Genomic DNA, 27,417 nt, shown 5'->3' on the forward strand with positions numbered 1-27,417 from the left:
ATTCTACATGATGATGAGTTGTATGATTATTTCATTATATTAACAATGTAATCATAATAGAAATAAAGTGCACAATAAATGGAATGCACATGAATCATCCCAAAACCATCCGACATCCCCCACTGCTCCATGGGAAAAAGCATCTTCCATGAAACCAGTCCCTGGTGGCAAAAGGGCTGCGGACCACTGGTCTACATGCTAACATCAATGCATGACTGAAGATGAGGATTGCAGATGTGGCTACATCACCACACCATGTCACCTCTCCAGAAGCCTGACCCAGGCAGAAATGCAAACTTGCCTCACCACCTCTGTTGAACATTAAAGACAAAGGAGAGGCCAGAGGCAGTGGCTCACGCCTGTAATCCCAGCACTTTGGGAGGCCGAGGTGGGCAGATCACCTGAGGTCAGGAGTTCGAGACCAGCCTGGTCAACATGGTGAAACCCCGTCTCTACCAAAAATACAAAAATTAGCCAGGTATGGTGGCGCATGCCTGTAATCCCAGCTACTCTGGAGGCTAAGGCAGGAGAATCACTTGAACCCAAGAAGCAGAGGTTGCAGTGAGCTGAGATCACGCCACTGCACTCTAGCTGGGTGACAAGAGCGAAACTCCTGCTCAAAAAAAAAAAAAAAAAAGGCAAAGGAGAAAAAAGGCAGTGAAGTCCCAATTTTAATCATTTCAATCCCGTAATACTGCAAAAGACTTGAAATAAAGACAGCTCCACACGGAGCTACTGCCTTCGTACAGCAGCTGTGGATGGACCCAGCTAGGATCTCCCTGCAAAAAAGAATTCCCTGCTGCACGAGGCCTTTGGGATTCACTCAGTGTTGAGCCACAGCCACGTCCTCCCCAGGCAGCCCCCAGCCAGTGACTGGGCTGGCCATGGGACTTGGTCCCGGCCACTTCTACCCAACACAGGATTCCTCTAATGGGCAATCTTTGCTGCAGAGGTAAGCATGGGTCGGACCAAGGCTTTGTCAGATCTGCATGGGAATCTGAGACTCCTCCTGTTCAGTTCTACTTCCAGGCCATTCAATTTCACAGCCATTATTATAATACTTCCTCCCTCCCCACCAATAAACCTTGCACACTTGATCTCAACATCTGCCTCCAGAAAGACCCAACTAACAAACTTGTTGACCTTAAATATCACTGGGGCTGGGCGGGGTAGCTCACATCTATAATCTTAATGCATTAGGAGGCTGATGGGGGAGGACTGCTTGAGGCCAGGAGTTCGAGACCAGCTTGGGCAATACAGTGAGACTCTGACTCTACAAAAAATAATAATAATAAATTTAACATAACTGAGCGTGGTGGTGTGCACCTGTAGTCCCAGATACTCGGGAGGCCTAAGCAGGAGGATCACTGGAGCCCAGAAGTCTGAGCTATGATTGTACCACTGCACTCCAGCCTGGATGACACAAGACCCTATGTCTTTAAAAAAAAACATTAAAGATAAATAAATACATATATCTTTCATAGGTCTGGGGATTAGGAGGTGGCATCTTTGGAGAAGCCATAATTCTGTGTATCATAGGGTGCATCCCAAGCGTAAGGTACCCTGACCCTAGGGAGGTGGAGAAGAGTCAGCGTGGGGCCAGTGGCTCTCTAAGCTCTTGTCACCTTCTGTCCCCTTCACCTGCCTTCTCACTCCTGAGTTCTAGACATAGAGAACAGTTATTGAACCAGATACACCTCTGATCCCAAAATAAAGCAGGGGACAGTGAAGCTGAGTGGTCCCCTGAGCTCTTTCTCCAAAAGAGACAACTTCACAGCATTGTTTTTTGGTGGGGGAGACAGGGTCTTGCTCTGTCACCCAGGCTGGAGTTCAGTAGCACAATCACGGCTTACAGCAGACTCAACTTCTCCACCTGAAGTGATCCTCCTGCCTCAGCCTCCTGAGTAGCTGGGAGTACAGGCACATGCCACCACACCCACTGATTTTTTTTAAGAGATGGGGTCTTGCTATGTTGCCCAGACTGGTCTCAAACTCCTGGGCTCAAGTGATCCTCTCACCTCCCAAAGTGCTGGGATTACAGGTGTGAGCCATCACATCCGGCCTTCAGCATTTTTAAACCCATGTGTGAATGTGACAAGATGTTAAGAGGCAATAGAGAAAATACAAGAAAGGATTAAGAAAAGTACCTTTTTGGGGGTCTGCTTCCCCACGGACCAAGGTGCAGGCATTGTCCCACACCCAAACTCCCCCTAAGGGCTCTAGTCTCTGCTGTAGGACGTGGCTAAATGGACAAGAGGGTTCCTGGAGACCAAGCACACCCCAGCCACTCCCCTGTCCTAGGTAGCACAGCACTGTACCCCAGTGAGTAACAGGACTCAGGAGCCTCGGGGTGGAGGCAGGTCTGGGCCTGGGCATCTTGCCTCTTGGAGTATGACTAACACCAGCCCCAAACATGATTATAGAAAACAACTCTATAAAGCCCTGGTCCATGCCAATAAAGCGCTCTCCCTGGCCCTGACATCACCGCTTCTATAGCAACCAGTTACTCTTCAAAGAGCAAAGTGTGGGAGAGTGCAAAACAGAGTCAAAACTGAAGACACTAAGTCGTGCCAGATGAAGAAATGGGCCAGAAAGCTACATCAGAGTTCAGAGATTGTCATCAGAGAAGGTCTAGGGGAAGAAGGACGATTTCACAGGCATCTCTAGGGTCCAAACCAGAAAGACCCAACTGACAAACTTGGTGACCTTAAATATCACTGGGGCTGGGTGTGGTGGCTCACACCTATAATCCTAATGCTATGGGAGGCTTAGGTGGGAGGATTGCTTGAGGCCAGAAGTTCGAGATCAGCTTGGGCAATATAGCGAGATCCCCCAACTCTACAAAAAAATTAAATAAATTTTTTTTTTTTTTTTTTTTTTTTTTTTGAGATGGAGTCCCGCTGTTTCATGCGGGCTGGACTGCAGTGGCACTATCTCGGCTCACTGCAAGCTCCACCTCCCAGCTTCACGCCATTCTCCTGCCTCAGCCTCCCGAGTAGCTGGGACTACAGGTGCCTGCCACTGCGCCCAGATAGTTTTTTGTACTTTTAGTAGAGACGGGGTTTCAACATGTTAGCCAGGATGGTCTTGATCTCCTGACCTCGTGATCCGCCCTCCTCGGCCTCCCAAAGTGCTGGGATTACAGGCGTGAGCCACCCCGCTCCGCCAAAATTTTTTTTAAATAACTGTGCAGGCCAGGCGCAGTGGCTCATGCTTGCAATGCCAGCACTTTGAGAGGACGAGGCAGGCGGATCACCAGGTCAGGAGATCGAACCCATCCTGGCTAACATGGTGAAACCCCATCTCTACTAAAAATACAAAAAATTATCCGGGCATGGTGGCATGCACCTGTAGTCCTAGCTACTCAGGAAGCTAAGGCAGGAGAATCACTTGAACCCAGCAGGAGGAGGTTGCAGTGAACTGAGATCGTGCCACTGCACTCCAGCCTGGGCAACAGAGCGAGACTCCATCTCAAAAAATAAAATAAAATAAAATAACTGTGCTTTGGGTAACCAAAGCAACAATGAAGTGCCCAGCTCAGTAGCCTGTTATTGTGATTTGTTGCTTTTTCTGTTGTGTGGGGTGAGGAATTGAGTGAGAATCTCTAACCTGACCATGTAGAGGACGCCATGCTTGAAGAAGTTTCCAAAACCGAAACATCACTTTGCTTTAGTATACAATGTCTAAGTAAACATAATTGTCCTTCAAAGAAGAGAAAACCATTAATCCACTCAATGGGAACCCTGGGAGAGTAGGGACTAGGTGGTCATTAAGACCTTCTTATGGACGTTAATGAATGTGACCCTATAAAACAATGACTGGTAAAGCACTATGTCCAAAGCACGGTTTTCCTCTGAAGGAGAAGTGCCTCATTATCCATTCTGTAGCACCTAGGCTATCTTCATCTAATCTGATCTGGCCGGCAGGTAAAAAGTCATGGAGTTCAGGAAGGGGCTGGGTAGGAGAGATGCAAATTGTGTACTCCCAAGAGCGACAGAGTGCAGGGAACTGCAGATGCCATGAGAAGCACACCCCTGAAACAGGAAACTGCACCCTACCTGAATTACCCCACTCTTGACTCTGACAACTAACAACATGCATTTTTTGGGAATATGTATTCATTAAATAAGCACTCAGCCATTCTATTTCTCAATTACCTCTAGTGACCCTAAGATCTGACCACGGGCATAGAAGAGGAAAAATTCTTCCCTAGTGACAGCCAGCTGTAACTGAGTCAAATGCCCGTCATTTTTTCTTCATTTTCTTAAGAGACAAGGTCTTGCTCTGTTGCCCAAGGCTGGAGTGCAGTGGCATGATCATATCTCACTGTAACCTTAAAATCCTGGGCTAAAGTGATCCTCCAACTTCAGCCTAATGAGCAGCTAGGACTACAGGTGCATTCCACCACAACTGGCTAATTTTTCTTTTTATTTTTTGTAGAGATGGGGTCTTGCTGTGTTGCCCAGGCTGATCTCAAACTCCTGGCCTCAAGTGATCCTCCTGCCCCAGCCTCTCAAAGTGCTGGCATTACAGGCATGAGCCACTGTACCTGTTAAGATGCTCTTCATTTAAGAGTCAACTGAATTTCAGAATCAATCAGAGGTGCAACATGTAGTACTCCTTGATACAATTTCCCATTAAAATCCATGAAGATACACATGCGCGCACACACACACACGCACACACACCCTTGCACACACATGCATACACATGCACACATGCAATGCACACACACGCACGTGCACACATACACACAAGCATGCACGCACACACACACACAGAGGCAGCAGAATAGGAAACTGCATATAATAGAATTTCCTATGCAAATAGGAGACATTTCAATGGCTGAACTGTCAATAGGGTCAGTTCAAGAGACAAAATCCTGGAATGAACAAGAGCTACCTTCTAAACCAGAACTGCATCGATGATATCAAAGGATGCAGAAAAACACATTGATTAGCCTCCTATAAAAAAAAATTCAACCTCACTAGTAGTCAAAGTAAAACAAAACTCCAGTCTTATTTGAAGCAACCAAATTGGCAACAATTTTTTTTTTATAATTTTTTTTGTTTTATTATTATTATACTTTAAGTTTTAGGGTACACGTGCACAATGTGCAGGTTTGTTACATATGTATACATGTGCCATGCTGGTGTGCTGCACCCATTAACTCGTCATTTAGCATTAGGTATATCTCCAAATGCTATCCCTCCCCCCTCCCCCCACCCCACAACAGTCCCTGGAGTGTGATGTTCCCCTTCCTGTGTCCATGTGTTCTCATTGTTCAATTCCCACCTATGAGTGAGAACATGTGGTGTTTGGTTTTTTGTCCTTGCGATAGTTTGCTGAGAATGATGGTTTCCAGTTTCACCCATGTCCCTACAAAGGACACGAACTCATCATTTTTTTATGGCTGCATAGTATTCCATGGTGTATATGTGCCACATTTTCTTAATCCAGTCTATTGTTGTTGGACATTTGGGTTGGTTCCAAGTCTTTGCTATTGTGAATAGTGCTGCAATAAACATACGTGTGCATGTGTCTTTATAGCAGCATGATTTATAATCCTTTGGGTATATACCCAGTAATGGGATGGCTGGGTCAAATGGGATTTCTAGTTCTAGATCCCTGAGGAATTGCCACACTGACTTCCACAATGGTTGAACCAGTTTACAGTCCCACCAACAGTGTAAAAGTGTTCCTATTTCTCCACATCCTCTCCAGCACCTGTTGTTTCCTGACTTTTTAATGATTGCCATTCTAACTGGTGTGAGATGGCATCTCATTGTGGTTTTGATTTGCATTTCTCTGATGGCCAGTGATGATGAGCATTTTTTCATGTGTTTTTTGGCTGCATAAATGTCTTCTTCTGAGAAGTGTCTGTTCATGTCCTTCGCCCACTTTTTGATGGGGTTGTTTGTTTTTTTCTTGTAAATTTGTTTGAGTTCATTGTAGATTCTGGGTATTAGCCCTTTGTCAGATGAGTAGGTTGCAAAAATTTTCTCCCATTTTGTAGGTTGCCTGTTCACTCTGATGGTAGTTTCTTTTGCTGTGCAGAAGCTCTTTAGTTCAATTAGATCCCATTTGTCAATTTTGGCTTTTGTTGCCATTGCTTTTGGTGTTTTAGACATGAAATCCTTGCAAATTTGCAACAATTTCTAAAACCATAAACATGATGTTGGCGAAAGGGTGGTGAAAGGGGAGTATTTTTCACACGGTTAGTAGGAGTGGAAACAGAACTGACCTATCAGGGAAGCAACTGGACAATCTGTTATAAGAGCCCCGAAAACGTGGAGACGCGATGCCCCAGTGTTTTCACTTACACAAGTCTTGGCTTCTTTTTTTTTTTTTTTTTTTTTTTGAGACGGGGTATCTATCTGTTGCCCAGGCTGGAGTGCAGTGGCGTGATTTTGGCTCACTGCAAGCTCCGCCTCCTGGATTCAAGCAACTCTCCTGCCTCAGCCTCCCGAGTAGTTGGGATTACAGGCACCCGCCATCGTGCCTGGCTAATTTTTTTGTGTTAGGTCACAGCTTTAAAAAACAATCACAAAGACAAGCAAAGATTTGTTTTTCCATAGTTCACTACATAACTACTTAGGACCAGGAAAAACTGGAAATAAAGCTGAGTGGCTGAGGCTGGACGCAGTGGCTCATGCCTGTAATCGCAGTACTCTGGAAGGCGAGGAGAGCGGATCACCTGAGGTCAGGAGTTCGAGACCAGCCTGGCCAACATGGTGAAACCCAGTCTCTACTAAAACTACAAAAATTAGCTGGGCATGGTGGCATGTGCCTGTAATCCCAGCAACTCAGGAGGTTGAGGCAGAGAATTGCTTAAACCCGGGAGGCGGAGGTTGCAGTGAGCTGAGATCGTGCCACTGCACTCCAGCCTGGGTGACAGAGAGAGACTCCATCTCAAAAAAAAAAGAAGAAATACCTGAGACTGGGTAACCTATAAAGAAAAGAGTTTTAGGCCAGGTGCAGTGGCTCACGCCTGTAATCCCAGCACTTTGGGAGGCCAAGGCGGGCGGATCATTTGGGCTCAGGTGTTTGAGACCAGCCTGGCCAACATGGTGAAACCCTGTCTCTACTAAAAGTGCAAAAATTAGCCAAGTATGGGGGCACAAGCCTGTAGTCCCAGCTACTTGGGAGGCTGAGGCAGGAGCATCGCTTAAACCTGAGAGGCAGAGATTGCAGTGAGCTTAGACTGTGCCCCTGCGCTCCAGTCTGGGTAACAGAGCGAGACTCCGTCTCAAAAAAAGAAAAAAAAAAAGAAAGAAAGAAAAAAGGAAAGAAGGTTTAATTGGCTGGCAATTCTGGAGCCTATACTGGAAGTGTGATGCTGGCATCTGCTTGGCTTCTGGCCAGGCCTCAGGAAACTTGCAATCATGGCAGAAGGCAAGGGGGAAAGCTGGTATGTCACATGGCAAAAGCAGGAGCAAGAGAGAGGGGAGATACCACACACTTTTAAACTATCAGATCTCACGAGAACTCACTCACTGTCATAAGGACAGTACCAAGGAGGATGGTGCTAAACCATTCACAAGAAGTTTGCCCCCATGATCCAATCACATCCTACCAGGCCCCCCTCCAACACTGGGGATTACAATTGAACATGAGATTTGGGTGGGGGACACAGATCCAAACCATATCAGGTGCCTCATTTGGAGGAGTCAGTGCTGGTTTTTCACCCACCTCTCAGGATCTTGCTTGACACAATCAGAGACCCCCGTGGCCAGAAATCACAAGCTAAAAAGAAAGGGAGAAGGCCAGGCGTGGTGGCTCATACCTGTAATCCCAGTGCTTTAGGAGACCAAAGGGCAAGGACTGCTTAAGCCCAGGAGTTCAAGACAAGCCTGAGCAACATAGTGAGATCCTATCTTGATCAAAACCATACAAATTATTCAGGCACGGTGGTGTGCACCTGTAGTCCCAGCTACTCGGGAGGTTGAGGCAGGAGGATCGCTTCAGCCCAGGAGTTAGAGGCTGCAGTGAGCTATGATTGCACCACTGCAATCCAGTCTGGGTGACAAAGCAAGACCTTGTCTCTAAAAATCAATGAAAAAAGAAAAGGAGAGGGTAGCCCCTGCTTAGGGTGAGCTACAGGCTCCTGTTAAAGCAGTTGGCACTGGGACACAGGCAAGGGAGTGGTGGCAACAAAACATAATCAGAATGATGGGCTTTCCTTGCTATTTATTTAACGGGCCGCGGTCAGGCAGAGGAGAAGAGGGGTTCCCATTCTTCTGACAACAGAGCTGAGCTTAATCTGAAATTGAGGTGGAGCTGGGCACATGGGAGAAATAAAATCTCCCAGGAGAATTAAAGTCTGAAGGAATGACTTCCAAGTCACTGGAGGAGGGAAAATACAAAGGAAACATCATTTCTAAACCAAAAACAGGGCCCAACCAGCATGAGGAAATCGTGCTCCTTCAGCTTCTAACTAGTATGGAAGGTGATTCATTTTTTGATGGATATGGCTTACAGGGTAAAAAAGGAACCAAGTGGCTTCTCTCAATGCTAGTGAACTGGAGGATGACCCAGCAGCCACTGCTTAAAAAGAGCAGGACATTCCCTGCACTTTCCCTGAACTTGGTCTCTCATAGGCCTGATGTGGTCCCTCACAGGCCCCCACAAAAGGAAGTCATTACCAAAAGCAGAACTACCATTTGACCCAGCAAAAAAATAAATTGTTCTACCCAATTGTTCTATTGAAAAGCCACCCGCACTAGCATGTTTATTGCAGCATTATTCACAGTAGCAAAGACATGAAATCCAGACAGATGAAATCAACAGTGGATTGGGTAAAGAAAATGTGGTGCATAGACACCATGGAATACTATGCAGCCATAAAAAAGAAGGAAATCGTGTCCTCGGCAGCAACATGGAAGCAGCTGGAGGCTATCATCCTAAGCAAGTTGATGCATAAACAGAAAACCAAATACTGCATGTTCTGATGTATACATGGAGCTCAAGTATTGGGTACACGCAGACATGAAGATGGGAACAACAGACAGTGGGGACTACTAGAGGGAGGATGTAGGGAGGAAGGCAAGGGTTAAAAAGCTACCTATTGGGTGCTATGCTCATTACCTGGGTGACAGGATCAATCGTACCCCAATATCACACAATATACCCTTGTAATATATACTCATTATCACACAATATACCCTTGTAACAAACTGGCATATGTACCCCCTTGAATCTAAAATAAAAGTTGAAATTATTTTTTAAATTAAAAAATAAAATCTTCTAGGAGAATTAAAATTGGAAGAAATGACTTTTTCATTCACTAGAGGAGGTAAAATGCAAAGGAAACATCATCTATATACCAAAGACAGGGCAACGCCAGCACAAGGAAATAGCATTCCTTCAGTTCCTAAGTCATATGGAAGGCAAAATTTTTTTTGGATGGATATCACAGGGTCAAAAAGGAAACAAGTGACTTCTTTTAATGCTGTTACTCATGTTCAGAATTAAAACCCGTGAACTAAAGGAAGACCCAGCCGTGCTGTTTAAAAAGAGCAGGATATGGCCAGACATGGTGGCTCACGTCTGTAATCTCAGCACTTTGGGAGGCCAAGGCAGGTGAATTACTTTAGATCAGGAGTTTGAGACCAGCCTTGCAACATGGTGTAACCTGTCTTTACTAAAAATACAAAATTAGCTGGGAGTGGTGGCCAGTGCCTGTAATCCCAGCTACTCGGGAGGCTGAGACACGAGAATCGCTTGAACCCCGGAGGCAGAGGTTGCAATAAGCCAAGATTGCGCCACTGCACTCCAGCCTAGGCAACACCGTGAGACCCTGTCAAAAAATTAAAAAAAAAGAGCAGGATAAGGCCGGGCACGGTGGCTCACGCCTGTAATCCCAGCACTTTGGGAAGTCGAGGCAGGTGAATCACGAGGTCAGGAGATTGAGGCCATCCTGGCTAACATGGTGAAACCCGGTCTCTACTAAATACACACACACAAAAAAAAAATTAGCTGGGTGTGGTGGCGGGCACCTGTAGTCCCAGCTACTTGGGAGGCTGAGGCAGGAGAACGGCATGCATGAACCCAGGAGGTGGAGCTTGCAGTGAGCAGAGATCACGCCACTGCACTCTAGCCTGGGTGACACAGCGAGACTCCATCTCAAAAAAAAAAAAGCACGATATTCCAGCATTTTCCCTGCACTTGGTCTCTCATAGGCCCAATGTGGTGCTTCACAGGCCCACAGGAAGGAAGTCATTTTACCAAAAGAGGCCGGGCTCGGCTTTCACGTCTCTTCCTCAGGGAAGCTTCCTTCACTGAGCACCAGGTTCCTGTCTGAGACAGCAGGACACACCTTAGCAGGGTGTCCTCCTGTGTGTCCCCAATTCTGTAAGCACCCTGCTTCGGTTCTTTTTCCAACTGACTCGATACTTAAGTGCCAATTACCATTCCCTGGCACGGGGGAGGGGCAACGATACCCCAAAAAGGGCCACTTACAAAGAAGTGAGCAGGGCTTTCCGCCGTGTTGGTCAAGCTTCAAAAGGAGTGGCCAATGGGGAAAAGAGGTCATTTTCAGTTTTCTGTGCCAAAGACAAGCAGCTAGACGGAAAGATCACACACAGCTCGGTCTCTGAAGACTGATAATTCCACGTGTATTCTATTTTAAAGCGAAGCCCTCGGCGCTACCTTGATGATTTTGTAGAATTTACACTGAAAGGGCATAAAATGTCACGCCATCTTGTGTGTTCCTCACTTCCATGTGCTCTTTGCGAGAAAATCAAACTCAGCTGTTTCTGAGCTCCTAGCGAGTACCCACAATGTCTAAGGCTTACAATTTCAACTGTGCATATCTTCTGCAAGGCAAAAGGGTGCAGGGAAAGAAATAGCAGTGGATCAGGCCTGTAATCCCAGCACTTTGGGAGGCCGAGGCAGGCAGATCATGAGGTCAAGAGATCAAAACCATCCTGGCCAACATGGTGAAACTCCGTCTCTACTAAAAATACAAAAATTAGCCGGGTGTGGTGGCACACACCTGTAGTCCCAGCTACTCGGGAGGCTGAGGCAGGAGAATCACTTGAACCCGGGAGGCAGGGGTTGCAGTGAGCCGAGATTGCGCCACTGCACTCCAGCCTGGTGACAGAGCGAGACTCCACCCAAAAAAAAAAAAAAAAAATTAGCCGGGCATGGTGGTGCACGCTAAGAAGGCTGAGGCAGGAGAATCGCTTGAATCCGGGAGATGGAGGTTGCAGTGAGCTAAGATCACAGCATTGCACTCCAACCTGGGTGACAAGAGTGAAAATCTGTCTCAAAATAATAATTAAAAAAAGAAAGAAAGAATTAGCAATGGAAAACTGTTCATGCCACCGAGATGCTTCTCTGAACCATGATTTCCCCAACTGCAAAATGAGGCTAACTCTGCCTACCTGGCAGGGGTGACATAATGACCCAATGCATAGTCTAGCCCATAGGAGTCCTTGCTCTTCCCCTCTTTGGGCCTCAGTTTCCTCACCTAGAAAGCAGCAGGGAAGGGTCAAGAAAGTAGGCAACTTCATAAGATGACCCAGCTTCAACACCCCACATTGTTAGGACTTCCTCTAAGACATATCACTGAAGGTCAGCTTTCGCTATCCCAGTGCTTTCAAGGGTTACATGGACAGGATAAAAGTTATGATCCCCAAACACATCTTCCTACACTGTAGAGATAAGAAAGAGGGCTGACATTATCCTAGGCAAACTGATGCAGAAACAAAATCAAATACCGCACGTTCTCATTTACAGATGGGAGCATTGGGTTCACATGGACAGGAAAATGGGAACCATAAGTCTGGCCACAGTGGCTCACACCTGTAATTCCAGCACTTTGGGAGGCCAAGGTGAGCAGATGCCTTGAGGTCAGGAGTTCGAGACCAGCCTGGCCAACATGGTGACACCCATCTCTACAAAAAACAATTAGCCACGCATGATGGCGCATGTCTATAGTTCCAGCTACCTGGGAGGTAAGGCAGGAGAATCACTTGAACCCGGAAGACAGAGACTGCAGTGAGCTGAGATTACACCACTGCACTCCAGCCTGGGCCACAGAGCAAGACTCCATCTCAAAAACAAGACAGAAAAGTAAAGATGGGAACAATAGACATTGGGGAAACAGGGATGGACGGCAAGGGTTGAAAGACTACTTATTGGGTACTGTGCTCGCTACCTGGGCGACAGTTTCAATCGTATCTCAAACTTCAGCATCATGCAATATACCTTTGTAACAAATCTGCACAGTACCCTCTGAATCTAAAATTAAAAGCTTAAAAAAAAAAAAAAAGAGGGCAGCCGGGAGTGGTGGCCTACGTCTGTAATCTCAGAACTTTGAGAGGCCAAGGTAAGCAGATAACTAAAGGTCAGGAGTTCAAGACCGGCCTGGCCAACATGGCAAAACCCTGTCTCTATTAAAAATACAAAAATTAGCTGGGAGTGGTGACGGGCGCCTGTAATCCCAGCTACTTGGGAGGCTGAGGCAGGAGAACTGCTTGAACCTGGGAGGTAAAGATTGCAGTGAGCCGAGATGGCACCACCGCACTCCAGCCTGGGTGACAGAGAAAGACTCCGTCTCAAAAAAAAAAGAAAAAAAAGAAAAAAGAAAAAAGGTGGTAACAATAGACATTGGGTTGTGGGGGGTGGGCAAAGGTTAAAAAACTATCTGTTGGGTACTATGCTCACTACCTGAGTGAGAGGTCCAATCACATCCCAAGCTTCAGCATCATGCAATATACCCTTGCAACAAATCTGCACAAGTACCCTCTGAATCTAAAATAAAAAGTTACAAAAAAGGAGAATCACTCGAACCTGGGAGGCGGGGGTTGCAGTGAGCCGAGACTGCACCACTGCACTCTGAATCATTATGAAGATGAGAAGTAGAGGCACCAGAAACCCAGGAGAGCGTTCCCCAAGCTACACTGTAGACACCATCCCGAAGGTCTTCCACCAGCTAGCAAGTACTCTGTCCCAGGACCTATGCCTTCTCCAAGCAACTTCCAGCTCCACAATCCCTACTCTCATTTCTGCTAAGCTCCTCCAATGTCGGATTTCAGGTTCACGGCAAAGCAGAACGGTTCTGAACAGGTTTGGGAATACTGAACCAAGTGCTGCTGTCTGTGCCTATCAATGTAGCTCTTCTTTCTTTGTCGTGGGAACTTCCATCCACACACAGCTGCTTAACGGGGACTGGGCTTGTCAATGAGATGCCTGTGATCCCAATGTGTTTCTCTCATCTAATTAGTTTGGTCAAAGAGAGAATGTAGTGTTTCCAGGGACTAGAAGACTTACCTTAATCTTCCCTTCACTCAACATTCTGTCCTCTGCTTGCCTAGAATGCATGTAACTCCACTCCTGAGCTTAGCATATCACATAACAATTAGTTTAAATGTCTGGCTTCCCCACTGGGTTGAGAGCTCCTCACCGGGTTTCTCTGGGGTGATAAAATGTGTTCTAAAACTGAATCACAGTGATGTGTGCACAGCTCCGTAAGATTATGAAAAATCATTGAACTGTACACTTAATGCAGGTAATTTGATGGTATATAAACTATTCCTCAATAAAGTTATTTTTAAAAATACTCCAGCATTCATTGGTGCATGGCTGTGGGCAAATTACTCTCTGAGCCTCAGTTTCCTTATCTGTAAACTGGAACAACAATAACTGATGTTGTACAATAGTCGCAAGGTTTAAGTAAAGGTGACGATGGAAAGAAGGTGCTTAATGCAGGGCCTGGAATACAGCAAGCACTCCACAAGTGTTGGCTACCTTATTTATATATTTATTTATTTATTTATTTATTTATTTATTTATTTATTGAGACAAGGTCTTGCTCTATAGTCCAGGCTGGAGTGCACTGATGCAATCATAGCTCACTGCAACCTCAACCTCCTGGGTTTACATGATCCTCCCACCTCAGCCTCCTGAGTAGCTGGGACTACAGGCACATGCCACCATGCCTGGCAATTTTTTTTTTTTTTGTAGAGATGTTGGTGGTGGGGGGCGGGGATCTCACTATGTTGTCCAGGCTGGTCTTGAACTCCTGGGCTCAAGTGATCCTCCTGAAGTGCTAGAATTACAGGTATGGGCCACCACACCCAGCCCATTTTTAATTATTATTATTTGTCCAGCACTAAAGATACAATCAGGGAAAAGGGAAAAACGAACATGGAAGAAAAGCTGGGTGCTGTGGGAGGCAGAAAAAAGCCTCTCCAAAGATGACCATGTCCTGGTCCCCAGAACCTGTGAATCTGTTACCTCAGATAACAAAGAGACTTTGCAGATGTAAAAAGAGATCTTGAGATGGGGGTATTATCCTGTTTTATCTGGGTGAGCCCAATGTAATCACAAAGGCTCTTAAAAAGATGGAAGAGGAAAGCAGAGCATGGTGGCTCATGCCTGTAATCCCAGCACTTGGGAGGCTGAGGCAAGAGGATCGCTTACCATTTGACCCAACAATCCTATTACTGGGTGTGTACCCAAATGATTATAAATCATTCTACTATAAAGACACATGCACACGTATGTTTACTGCAGCACTATTTACAATGGGAAAGACTTGGAACCAATCCAAATGCCCATCAATGATAAACTGGAAACAGAAAATATGGCATATATACACCATGGAATACTATGCAGCCATAAAGAAGAATGAGTTCATGTCCTTTGCAGGGACACAGATGAAGCTGGAAACCATCATTCTCAGCCAACTAACACAGGAACAGAAAACCAAACACCGCATGTTCTCACTCATAAGTGGAAGTTGAACAATGAGAACACATGGACACAGGGAGGGGAACATCACACACCGGGGCCTGTCGGAGGGTGGGGAGCAAGGGGAAGGAGAGCATTAGGACAAATACATAATGCATTTGCAGGGCTTAAAACCTAGATGACAGGGGCCGGGCACAGTGGCTCATACCTGTAATCTCAGCACTTTGGGAGGCTGAGCCGCGCGGATCATGAGGTCAGGAGATCGAGACCATCCTGGCTAACAGGGTGAAACCCCGTCTCTACAAAAATACAAAAAATTAGCTGGGCGTGGTGGTGGGCGCCTGTAGTTCCAGCTACTCAGGAGGCTGAGGCAGGGGAATGGCGTGAACCCAGGAGGCAGAGCTTGCAGTGAGCCGAGACTGCACCACTGCACTCCAGCCTGGGCAACAGAGCAAGACTCCGTCTCAAAAAACAAAAACAAAAACAAAAAACAAAACCTAGATGACAGGTTGATAGGTGCAGCAAACCACCATGGCACATGTATACCTAGGTAACAAACCTGCACGTTCTGCACATGTATCCCAGAACTTAAAGTAAAATTTTAAAAATATTTTAAAAACAGATCAGCCTGGGCAATGTGGCGAAACTCTGTCTCTACAATAGATACTAAAAAAAAAAAAAAATTAGCTGGGTGTGGTAGCATACACCTGCAGTTCCACCTACTTGGGAGGCTGAAGTGGGAGGATCACCTGAGCCCAGGTAGGTCAAGGCTGCAGTGAGTCATGATCACGCCGCTGCACCCCAGCCTGGGCAAAAGAGTGAGGCCCTGTCTTGAGAAAAAAAAAAAAAGATGGAAGAGGACAGTAGGAGAGTCAGAGAGAGAGATCTGAAGATGCTCCACTGCTGCCTTTGAAGATGGAAGAGGAGATATGAGCTAAGGAATGCAGGCAGACTCTATAGAAGTTCGACAAAGCAAGGAAACAGATTCTGCCCCAGCATCTCCAAAGGAATGTAGCCCTGATAATATCCCTATTTTATCCCAGTAAGATGCATTCCAAACTCCGACCTCCAGAATTGAAAGATAATAAATTCGTATTCTGTTAAGCCGCTAAGTTAGTGATAATTGGTTACAGCAACCACAGAAAACTAATATAGGCACAGTCGTTTCCCCATCACCCACAGCGTCACTTTCTGCAGTTTCAGTTACCTGAGTTCAACCACATTCCAAAAATATCAGATGGAAAATTCCAGAAATAAAAAATTCATCAGTTTTCATGTGCATGCCATTCCAAGGAGCGTGATGAAATCTTATACCATCCCAAACTGCCCCACCTGGGGGCATGAATCGTGCCTTTGTGTAGCCTAGCCACACTGTCTACACTACCAGTCTGTCAGTCACTCAGTAGCTGACTGAGCTATCAGATCAACTGTTGCAGTACACGCTTTTTTTTTTTAATTTTTATTTTAAGTTCTGGTGTACATGCACAGGATGTGCAGGTTTGTTACATAGGTAAACATGCACCATGGTGGTTTGCTGCATCTATCAACCCACCACTTAGGTATTAAGCCCAGCAGGCATTAGCTATTTTTCCTAATGCTCTCCCTCCCCCAACGCCCCTGTCCAACAGGCCCCAGTGTGTGTTGTTCCCTTTCCTGTGTCCATGTGTTCTCATTGTTCAGCTTCCACTTACAAGTGAGAACATGCAGTGTTTGGTTTTCTGTTACTGCATTAGACTGCTGAGGATAACGGCTTCCAGCTCCATCCATGTCTCTGCAAAGGACAGGATCTCATTCTTTTTTATGGCTTCATAGTATTCCATGGTATATGTACCACATTTTCTTTATCTAGTCTATCACTGATGGGCATTTGGGTTGATTCCATGTCTTTGCTGTTGTGAATAGTGCTGCAATGAACATACATGTGCATGTATCTTTGTAACAGAATGATATTTTATTGCTATTGTTGTTAGTCTCTCACTGTGCCTAATTTATAAATGAAACTTTCTCATACGTAGGTACCTATAGGAAAAGATGTACTAGGTACAGAGCTCAGTGCTATCCGTGATTTCAGGCATCCACTGGGGGTCTTGGAACTCCTCCCTTGCTGATAACCCCACCCTTACTGTACCATGCTGTGGAATGCCTGGGCTGTCAGGGTAAGAGTAGACTAAGGAAAAGAGTGATCAACTAGAGCTATATTTTTTGTAAAATCAATTTGTTTAGCAGCATGTAAGTTGCACTGGGGGGCAGGAGAGAGGCAGCAAGTGTCAGAAAAGACGCTGTTGTCTTGGACAAGACAGTGCATTGAGAAGGAGCCTGACAGGTGTGAAATGTGTGTTGGGATATTGGATGCATAAAACATATGCAACTTGGAGATCCCCTACAGGCTGGGGCCAAAGGAGAAGGGTCAAAGAAGACAAAAGGCTGGCTCATGGGAATCACAGTGACACCATTCTAGGGGTCAGAAGAAACTGCCTCAGCAGGGGGAGCAGAGAGGATGTAGGAGCATGCATCAGCTCCGGCAAGGGGTTTAGATTTGGGCCAAGAGCTTAGAACTGCAGTCAGAACTAAAGATCCCATTGTAGAACCGTCATCGCAGAGGTGAAAGCCAAAAGTAATCCAGGTCCGGGAAGAAGACAACTAATTGAACAACTGCATTGTACGTGATAATACTATTTACAATAGCCAAGCATTGGAGAGAAACAAAAATCCAACAAATAAGAGATGGTTAAATAAGTTATTGTCACTTCATGCAATGGACTCGTAGAAAGCTTTCAAAAAAATTTTTTTTTAATTTATTTTTTGAGACGGAGTCTCACTCTGTTGCCCAGGCTGTAGTGCAGTGGCACCATCTTGGCTCACTACAACCTCCGCTTCCCAGGTACAAGCGATTCTCCTGCCTCAGCCTCCCAAACAGCTGGGATTACAAGCACCTGCCACCATGCTGGCTAATTATTATATTTTTAGTACAGACAGGGTTTCGCCATGTTGGCCAGGCTGGTCTTGAACTCCTGGCCTCAGGTGATCTGCCCATCTTGGCCTCCCAAAGTGCTGTGATTACAGGCATGAGCCACCACACCTGGCTTAAAAAGTATTTTTTAAAGAATAGTTAATGGTTTAGGAAACATATGATATATTGAAATTTTTTTAATACAACATAAAAAGCCAAATTCCTTTAAAAGACTGGAAGGAAACAACAGACTTTAACACTATCTATATTGGGTATAGTGATGACAGTGACACCTTCTTCTTCATAATTTGCTATATTTTTAATTTAGCATAAATTAGCATGTTTAGCATGTAACATGTTTAGCATGTTTCCATAACATGGAAACACAGTTTTCAATAATATGCATATAATTTTATTGCACCTGTTTAAAAGCTTTGGCTTTATTAAGTTCTTTCTCTGATTGTTGATGAAAAAGTTTAGTTCCTTTATTTTGGTCACAAGGGACTGTTTTTCGTCACTATTTTTACTGTTTGACTTCTTGATACAATAAAGATCATTCTGTAAAAAGGAAAAAAAAAAAAAAAGAAGGCACTGTGGAGAAAGGCATGGAGGAGATCATTTGAGTAAAGGACCCACTGCAGGGTTGGAAGGAGGAAAAAAAGCAACCCCAAGGACAGAATAAGAGCCAAAGGAGAAGACGGTCTCGGGGAGTTGCCTGTGACCCTCAGTGGGATGGAGAGTTAAGGGGCTAAGGGGAGAAGAGAAGGCAGTGTTCACAAAGAGATGTTTCCTTTCAAGAGAGAGAAAAAGGCTGGGTACAATGGCTCATGCCTGGAATCCCAACAACTCAGGAGGCCAAGGCAGGAGGATCACTTGAGACCAGGAGTTTGAGACCAGCATCGGCAACATAGTGAGACCCCATTTCTACAAAAAAAAACAGAAACATTAGCCAGGAGTGGTGGTGAGCACTTATAGTGTCAGCTACTTGGAGGGCTGAGGCAGGAGGATTGTTTGAGCCCAGGAGTTGGAGGGTGTGGTGAGCTATGGTCACACCACTGGGCAACAGAGCAAGGCCCTTTCTTTTAAAAACTAAATTAGGCCAGGCATGCTGGCTCACATCTGTAATCCCAACACTTTGAAAGGTCGAGGCAGGCGGATAATCTGAGGTCAGGAGTTCAAGACCAGCCTGGGCAACACAGCAAAACCACATTTCTACTAAAAATACAAAAATCAGCCAGGCACAGTGGTGCACACCTGTAGTCCCAGCTACTCAGGAGGCTGAGACAGGAGAATCGCTTGAGCCTGGGAGACAGAGGTTGCAGTGAGTCAAGATCACACCATTGTACTCCAGCCTGGGCAACAGAGCAAGATGTTGTCTCAAAATAAATAAATAAACAAACAAACAAACAAACTAAATTAAGCTAGAAAAAGAGAAACAAAGAGGAAACATAACAATAGAAAGACACACTGATGTTTACAAGGAAACAGTAAGGTTGAGAAGAGTTTGCCATGGACAGTTTCAATCTTTTACCACAAAGATAGAGGCAGTTTGCAGGTAATTACAAGGTAAAGCAGGATTAGAACCCTACAGAGCACAGAGAAAAGCTGCGATCTCTGCTTTGGATGTCAACAAGAGAAGACAAGAAACTTCCCCGGGAGCCCAGCCAAGATTAGACTCTGCCTAGATTCCTCCAGCCAGCAAAGTACCTCCCACAGTCTAGCACATATGAGGCCATTAGTTAGGGTGGCCTCTGACATCTCCTGAATATTGTTGGCTTTGTTATTTGTTATCTGAAGTCCACTTGTCTTTTTTTGTTTTGTTTTGTTTTTTTGTTTTTTTGAGATGGAGTCTCGCTCTGTCACCGAGGCTGGAATGCCATGGCGCGATCTCGGCTCACTGCAACCTCTGCCTCCCAGGTTCAAGTGATTCTTCTGCCTCAGCCTCCCAAGTAGCTGGGATTACAGGTGTGCACCACCACACGCAGCTAATTTTTGTATTTTAGTAGAGATGGGGTTTTACTATGTTGGCCAGGCTGGTCTCGAACTCCTGACTGCAAGTGATCCGCCCGCCTTGGTCTCCTAAAGTGGTGGGACTACAGGCGTGAGCCACCGTGTCCGGACATGAAGTCCACTTGTCTTATCTTCCTAACTTGTGGAGAACAGAGGCCATCTCTAATTTAATTTGGTATGTTCTCCAGATGCTGGATCTCGGTAGATATCCCCTAAGTACTTAATTATGGGTGGAAAGCAATGGAAGAGAAGCAATAATAGCAAATGCTTCTAGTTGCTATTGCTATAATTTCCCAACATATTGATTAAAACTTGCTTTAAAGAAACACAACAGATAAAAACTTATAAAACAGACCTGGTGTGGTGGCTCATGCCTGTAATCCTACCACTTTGGGAGGCCAAGGTGAGAGAATCACTTCTGGAAGTTCAGAAGTTTGAGACCACCCTGAGCAATATAGCGAGACTCTGTCTCTGCCAAAAAAACTAAAAATTAGCCAGTCATGGTAGCATGCTCCTGTAGTCCCAGCTACTAGGGAGGCTGAGGTGGGAGGATCACATGAGCCCAGGAGTTGGAGGCCACAGTGAGCTATGATCACACCACCGCACTCCAGCCTGGATGACACAGTGAGACTCTGTCTCAAAAATAAATAAATAAATAAATAAATAAGAAAAATAAATAATTTTCCAAAAAGTTCAAGCAGATCAATTAGAGTGTGTCCACGCCTTATAGAATTCCTTTAAATACTGCATTAGTATTGTCCTGGGTGCATTTTAAAAAGAATTTGCTACAGGGAAATCTACATTGAAGGCAACTCCTAAAGAAATAGCTCCATAGTGTAAAAATCATTTAACGCTAGCACAGACAGGCTTGCAAATGAAATCCTTCACAGCCCCAGCAGAAAGAGTCCCACACACTCTGCTGTGCAGCAGAGAAGGATGTCAAAGCAGCCCGTGTTGATTAGACTGTAAAGGGCTCAGAATTCCACTCCGGGGACCTGGCACATTTCTAAACATGTGGGAAAACTCTCCAGCATCCCCCACCCCCGCCCCCCTAACCTTGGACTCCATGACATCTCTCCCTCTGCTGTCTTATGTTGTTATTAAGCCTGTCAATCAAATCTCTGCCCCATCACCCCTTGGCCATGTAGCCCTGGAAGGCCAAGTTACAACCACTGTCCCTTTGGTTCTTGCCCACCCGGTACCCCATCCTTATATACTTGTACTTGCACCCTCTGCAAAGAAAATACCCCAAGCTCCAAGGTAGCACAGAACTGCTACCTGACCAAGAACCAGCCCTGGGGTCCAAATAACCTGATTTCACATTCTGGGCCAGGCACAGTGGCTCATACCTGTAATCCCAGCTCTTAGGGAGGCAGAGGAGGGAGGATAGTTTGAGCCCAGGAGTTCGAGACCTGCCTGGGCAATATAATGAGCCCATTCTCCACAAAAAAAAAAAAAAAAGAAAGAAAGAAAAAAGAAAAAGAACCTGATTTCACATTCCAGTCCAATTTCTTACAAGCTGAAAACCCTCAGAAAAATCACCTAATTATTGGGATAGTGACCATCCCAACCTTGTTATTCACGCAACGTCTCTCACTTACGTAAAGGCTCATTAAGGTTGGGTATTATCATTAAGTGTTTAAGGAAGAGTTGACTTGGCTTGTAAGGCTGAAAGAGAACATATAAAATACTCAAAGTCGAAATTCTCAGTGTTCAGAGCCACTCATCAAGCCCACCCGCCCTCCGAATCAACTGCAGAAGAAACCAATAAAATGGGATGGTCTCTCATCGAGCAAGTTCTACTGACAACAGTCAATATGGAGGCTCATATATGTTCGTTAAACCAGGAAATCAGTGAGAAAAACCTGCCCATAGAGATAGCAGCAAAGACCCAAGGAGAACCTCAAGTCCTGCCATTCATTGGCATGCCTGAAAAAGTTCAGGGTTGCAGAATTTTTTTCCTCTTGCATCGTGGTGGAAAACGCCAGGCTCATCGCAAAAATCAAATTATCCCTACAATATGTGATAATTAATGGTTGGATTATCTGAACCAAATGACATCCCAGAGCAAACTGTGCTAACTGTTGGGAGGAGGAAATAAATGTGTCATTGATTTTCAGCTTTAATGATATAGTACAGGTATTTGTGACTATCTGTCACATGGAAAAGACTCAAGACATGTTGGTTATTATTATTTCATAAGCAATGTTCATGGTCTTTGGCCAAGGGATAGATTTGTGTCCTAGGACACCTCCCCATACTGGGAGTCTGCAGAATTTAATTGATGTGTTGAAGGAGCCTGCAGTGGGAGGTGAAGTCTGACCTAGTTGGGAACTTTTTTTTTTCTATTTTTATTTTTTTTTTTTTGAGATGGAGTTTCCCTCTTGTTGCCCAAGTTGGAATGCAATGGTGCAATCTCAGCTCACTGCAACCTCTGCCTCCTGGGTTCAAGCAATTGTCCTGCCTCAGCCTCCCGAGTAGCTGAGATTACAGGCATGTGCCACCACACCTGGCTAATTTTCTATTTTTAGTAGAGACGGCGTTTCACCAAGTTAGCCAGGCTGGTCTCAAACTCCTGACCTCAGGTGATCCGCCCGGCTCAGCCTCCCAAAGTGCTAGGATTACAGGCATGAGCCACTACACCTGGCCCTGGGGAATTCTTATTATACCGGTAAGGGAAGATCAAATGGATTTGAGGCATCACTAAACTGCAACATCACAAACATCTGCTGCTCTGAATCCCACCCCCATGGCCAGAAGCTGAAATTGGGAGGTCCTTATTCCAGATAAGGGAGACAGGGAGAGACGACAGGGCCAAAGAAGTAGACTGCACCTGTCACTGAGCAGAGGACTAGAGAGAGCAGCAGACCAGGAGAGGCAGAGACAGGCACAGAAGCCACAGCGAGGGCCAGGAGACAGAAGCAGAAAAATGCATTAAACCAAGGAGAGTCTTCACTGCCTGTTAGAGCATTTCAGGTTGGCTTTTTAAGGTTCTTGGGGCTGAGTTCTGGGAGGGCTGGTTTCACTCAAGAACCATCAGCCCTTACTGAGTCCTCCCTCTCTTAGGAGTTCCCCAAAATGACCAACACAAAAGCAAGACAGAGAGAAACCCTTCCTTCTTCTAGCCCCTTCACAAATCCAGAGTTTCTCTGGCTACTCAAGAGGAAATCTATAAGGTGAGATTGCAGACATCAAGGGAATGAGGCATGTTTAACAAGGAGTGCCCCAGAAATGTTACCATGGAAAATGGAAGTGCCTGCAACATCATGGCTCTTTCTGCCTGGCACTGTTGACAGCAAATGCATAAAGGACAAGGGTTTTGGCAAGTTGATGAATGTATAAATCTAGCATCTTGAAGGACTCCAAAAACAGAGGTGGCATTCAGAAGCTTGTGAAGGTAATGACCCACAAAACAAGGAAGCCCTACAGAAGACAGCCGGGTTCACCAAAGCTCCAGGTGACAGCTAATTGTTTAGGGTCTGCAGGTGTTCACCTTGGGAAACATTGCAATTGTTGCTCAGGAATAATACTCTTAAATGAAAAATTCACAAAAGGAAATCAGTATTCTATGATAGTTACAAGAGCACATCAAAATTAAGTTTTAATATTTCCATTTTTTTCTTTGATTTTTAAATTTTAACTGGAGTCTTCTCCATCCAGAGAAACAAATGTCTATGAGAATGAGTTGCAAAGAGACTGAGCTGCTGGCTTTATTCCCTAGAAATTCATGGTATAATGAATTTATTTCCTAGAAATTTATTGAATGAATTATTTAATGAGTATAATTTATTATTTAATGATTTTTTTATTTAATGAATTTATTCCCTAGCAACACTTTATTCCCTAGAAATTCATGGAATAATGAGTGTCTGATATGGTTTGACTGTGTCCCCACCCAAATCTCATCTTGAACTGTAGTTCTTGTAATCCCTACATGTCATGGGAGGGACCCAGTGGGAGGTAATTGAATCACAGGGAGGGTTAGCTCCATGTTGTTCTCATGATAGTGAGTGAGTTCTCACAAGTTCTGATGGTTTTTTAAGGGGCTTTTCCCCTCTTTGCTCTGCACCTCTATTTGCTGCCGCCACGTGAAGAAGGGCATGTTTGCTTCCCCTTCCACCATGATTGTAAGTTTCCTGAGACCTCCTCAGCCCTGTAGAACTGTAAGTCAATTAAACCTCTTTCCTTTGTAAATTACCCAGTCTCAGGTATGTCTTTATTAGCAGCATGAGAACAGGCTAATACAGTGTCATAGAAAAAGAAAAGATTGTGACAAGACAGAGACCCAGACCTCTCATGATCAGACATCCCCCACTAATGTGGACAAAGCTAGGAAGCAGGAGAGAGGGCCCTCAGACTCTTGCCCCACCTTAAACAGCCTGACTCTTCACACTAATCTGTGCCTTTACAGCCAGTAAGATGTTGTACTCCGTGACTTCTAAAATACCTCCTGGTGCTTTCTATTCAAATATTCTGTGATGGCTGGGAAAAGTGGCTCATGCCTGTAATCCCAACAATTTGGGAGGCCAAGACAGGAGGATCACTAGAGGCCAGGAGCTTGAGACCAGCCTGGGAAGCACACCAAGACCCCACCTTTCCAAAAAAATAAATAAATTAGCCAGGAGTGGTGGCACGTCCTTGTATTCTCAGCTACGCAGGAGGCTGAAGCAGGAGGATCACTTGAGCTCAGGAGTGAGGCTATAATAAGCTATGATTGCACCACCGCACTCCAGCCTGGACAACAGAACAAGACCTTGTCCCTAAAAATAAATAAATAAATAAATAAATAAACCAAAGATTCTGTGACGCTCTGCTGTCTTAGCTTCTAAACCCTCTTGATGTGCAGAGATTTTTATTTCTATTGTATTCTGCACATCTGACACAGCATAAATATCAACATATAATAAAAGTTTAGTATATTCCTGTATTTAAATGTAAACAGCAAAATCTTCCTAAATTATCTGGGTATAACTTTTCTAAGGTGTTAATTTCTTAAATCCCCAAGGTGCATGGGTTTGTAGATCAAGTTAACTCAACAGAATAACGTGGGATGCTACAGAAAAAAAAAATGTGGATTTTCTAATGACACAGAATGCCCAGCCTCTGCCAGGTAGCTCCTACATGTGCCCTCGATCCCAACAGGGTTCAGAAGAGAGAATGTGCACCACTTAGTACACAATGCACAGCTTCGACTGTGCATTCCCTTACTAAAACCAACAGAACCACTGTCAAAGTGCCTCCCCTCCTGAAAGCAGGATAGTCTTGTACATTGCATGCCAGCAGAGACAACACAAGCCAAGGGTGGAAGGGCTTAAGGATTTCTATTCGACCATGCTGAAACCAAGCTTTAAGTTTAAATATGAGTGACATTCTTACAACCAGCTCATTTTGCTGGGTAAACAACTCAACAATCCTGGAGAGAATCCTAGCCTCAAGTTCTAGCTGTAATGACTTGAGACTAATGTTTTGAAGAGAGACTCCAGGAGTGTGGGGGCTACTTTGGGAAGTCTCATAGGATCCACCAGTCCTATAGTTCTCGAAACACTTGGGGAAATTTCTTTTTTTTTTTTTTTAAATAAAGATGGGGTCTTGCTTTGTAGCCCAAGCTGGAGCGCAGTAGAGTGATCATAGCTCACTGCACCCTTGAATTCCTGGGCTCAAGCTATCCTCCCACCTCAGCCTTCTGAGTATCTGGGACTATAAGGACGTGCCACCGTGCCAGGCTAGTTTTTTAACTTTTTGTAGAGTTCGAGTCTTGCTCTGTTGTACAGGCTGATCTTGAACTCCTGACCTCAAGCAATTCTCCAGCCTTGGCCTCCCAAAGCGCTGGTGTTACAGGTATGAGCTGCTGCGACTGGGGGAGATTTGCTGAATAGCTTCCAAAGCCAGTGTCTAACAAACACAGATCAACTTGTTACTGCATGTTCATACAAACATTACTGCTAGTTTGATCAATCAACTGCTCCACATGATTTGACTCTAAACTGCCATTCTCTGTTGCTAAAACTACCCTCATCTTCAGAAGAGAAGGATTCGTTGCTGTTAAGTTTATTCCTGAGGATGTCTCAAGGCCCTATAGTCAGCTGGCAAAGAAATCCAGTCATTCACTGAGTGTGGGCAGTGTTCTTGGAGAAAGAATCACTAATGTGTAGGGTCCATCACTTCCACTGGTCTGAATTATGTTTCCAAGTGACCTATACAAATCAGAGTGTATCATGCTTTTCTGCTGTTCTCTCTACCTGGAAGGCCAGTCCCATGCCTGTTTACACTGGACAAATATTTGGTTTTTAAAAGCATTATTTGGCCTTCTGGAACCTTCCTTGAGTGCTCCCAGCCACCTCCTCTAAAAGCATTACTTACTCCCCGCATTATCAGAGTCTATATCTGCCCCTCTCAATAGACTGGAGTGGAATCAAACTATCTTTGAACCATTTCAATTCCAATCTAGCCTTTACTACATTCTCTGGCACACAGTAGATTCTTAGTTAATATTTGCTGAATTTGAATAGTTTTAGTTCAAGTAAGTTGGCTTGAGAATCATTCATGTTAGAGTCTGTTTTGCACAATGAAAGTATTCACCATTCAACAGGCATTTATTGGTCACTAAACTTACACCAGCCATGGACTAGGGGAAGGGAGAGTCGTTTCTTAGTGTCTTTTCTCAGACTTGTGCACTGCATTTTTGGGGTGTCTTTATTTTGTTCTGTTTTTAATAATTTTTAAAAGTCAAGAATGGTACGAGCACATTCTGTTTTCCCCCCCACACATTTACTTAAACAAAAAAGGTTCAGACCGGGTGCAGGGGCTCACACCTGTAATCCCAGCACTTTTGGAGGCCAAGGCGGGCAGATCACCTGAGGTCAGGAGTTCGAGAGCAGCCTGACCAACATAGAGAAACCCTGTCTCTACTAAAAATACAAAATTAGCCAGGCGTGGTGGCGCATGCCTGTAATCCCAGCTACTTGGGAGGCTGAGGCAGGAAAATCGCTTGAATCCAGGAGGCAGAGGTTGCAGTGAGCCAAGATCACGCCATTGCACTCCAGCCTGGGCAATAAGAGTGAAACTCCATCTCAAAACAAAAAAAAAAAGGTTCAAATATATCTGATGCAACACACTCATGTCTAAAACAACAGATACCATAACTCAGCCATGCCTCTTTAGTTTGTCTCCAAACAAAAGCAGCCCATGCCATCTAAAAAGTAAAGGCCACTAGGATGAAAGTTTACGCATTTAAAATCCCTCTCTCTCTCTTTTTAGTCATTTAAGCTTTTGAGTATACAGTTCAGTGGCATTAAGTATATTTTCATTATTGGGCAACCACCACCATCCATCCTCAGGACTTTTTCATTATCCCAAAGTGAAATTCTACCTATTAAATAACTCTGCACTTGTTAAACAACCCTATTCCTCCTCTTCTGAGCCCCTGGCAACCACCCTTCTACTTCCTATGAATTTAGCTATTCTAGGGACCTCATAGAAATGGAATCATACAGTATTTGTCCTTTTGTGTCTGGCTTATTTCACTTACCATGCTATCTTCAAGGTGCACCCATGCTGTAGTGTGTGTCAGAATGTCCTTCCTTTTTAAGGCTGAATAATATTCCATTCAATGGCTATACCACATTCTTTCCACCTTTTGGCTATTGTGAATAATGCTGCTATGAACATAGATGTGCACATATCTGTTTGAGTCCCTGCTTTCCATCCTTTGGGGTATAGGCATAAATTGATGGATAATATGGTAACTTTATGTTTGG

The 27,417-nt window shown here is 44.8% G+C and overlaps 1 protein-coding gene across 15 annotated transcripts in view, besides 1 other annotated feature; it reads right to left on the reverse strand.

The window, feature by feature from the left end:
- CALN1 (calneuron 1) overlaps positions 1-27,417 on the reverse strand; it is a 724,789-nt gene that overhangs the window by 435,484 nt on the left and 261,888 nt on the right. The gene's annotated exons all lie outside the window — the stretch shown is intronic.
- Positions 9,648-9,803: a silencer, noted in NCBI's record as "fragment chr7:71689607-71689762 (GRCh37/hg19 assembly coordinates)". NCBI's record gives its function as "represses an EF-1alpha promoter that drives an FKBP-Casp9 reporter gene in an ReSE screen in HepG2 liver carcinoma cells {active_cell/tissue: HepG2}" and the evidence as "EXISTENCE:reporter gene assay evidence [ECO:0000049][PMID:32094911]".

The sequence above is a fragment of the Homo sapiens genome, chromosome 7 (genome assembly GCF_000001405.40).
Source record: "Homo sapiens chromosome 7, GRCh38.p14 Primary Assembly".
NCBI lineage: Eukaryota > Metazoa > Chordata > Mammalia > Primates > Hominidae > Homo > Homo sapiens.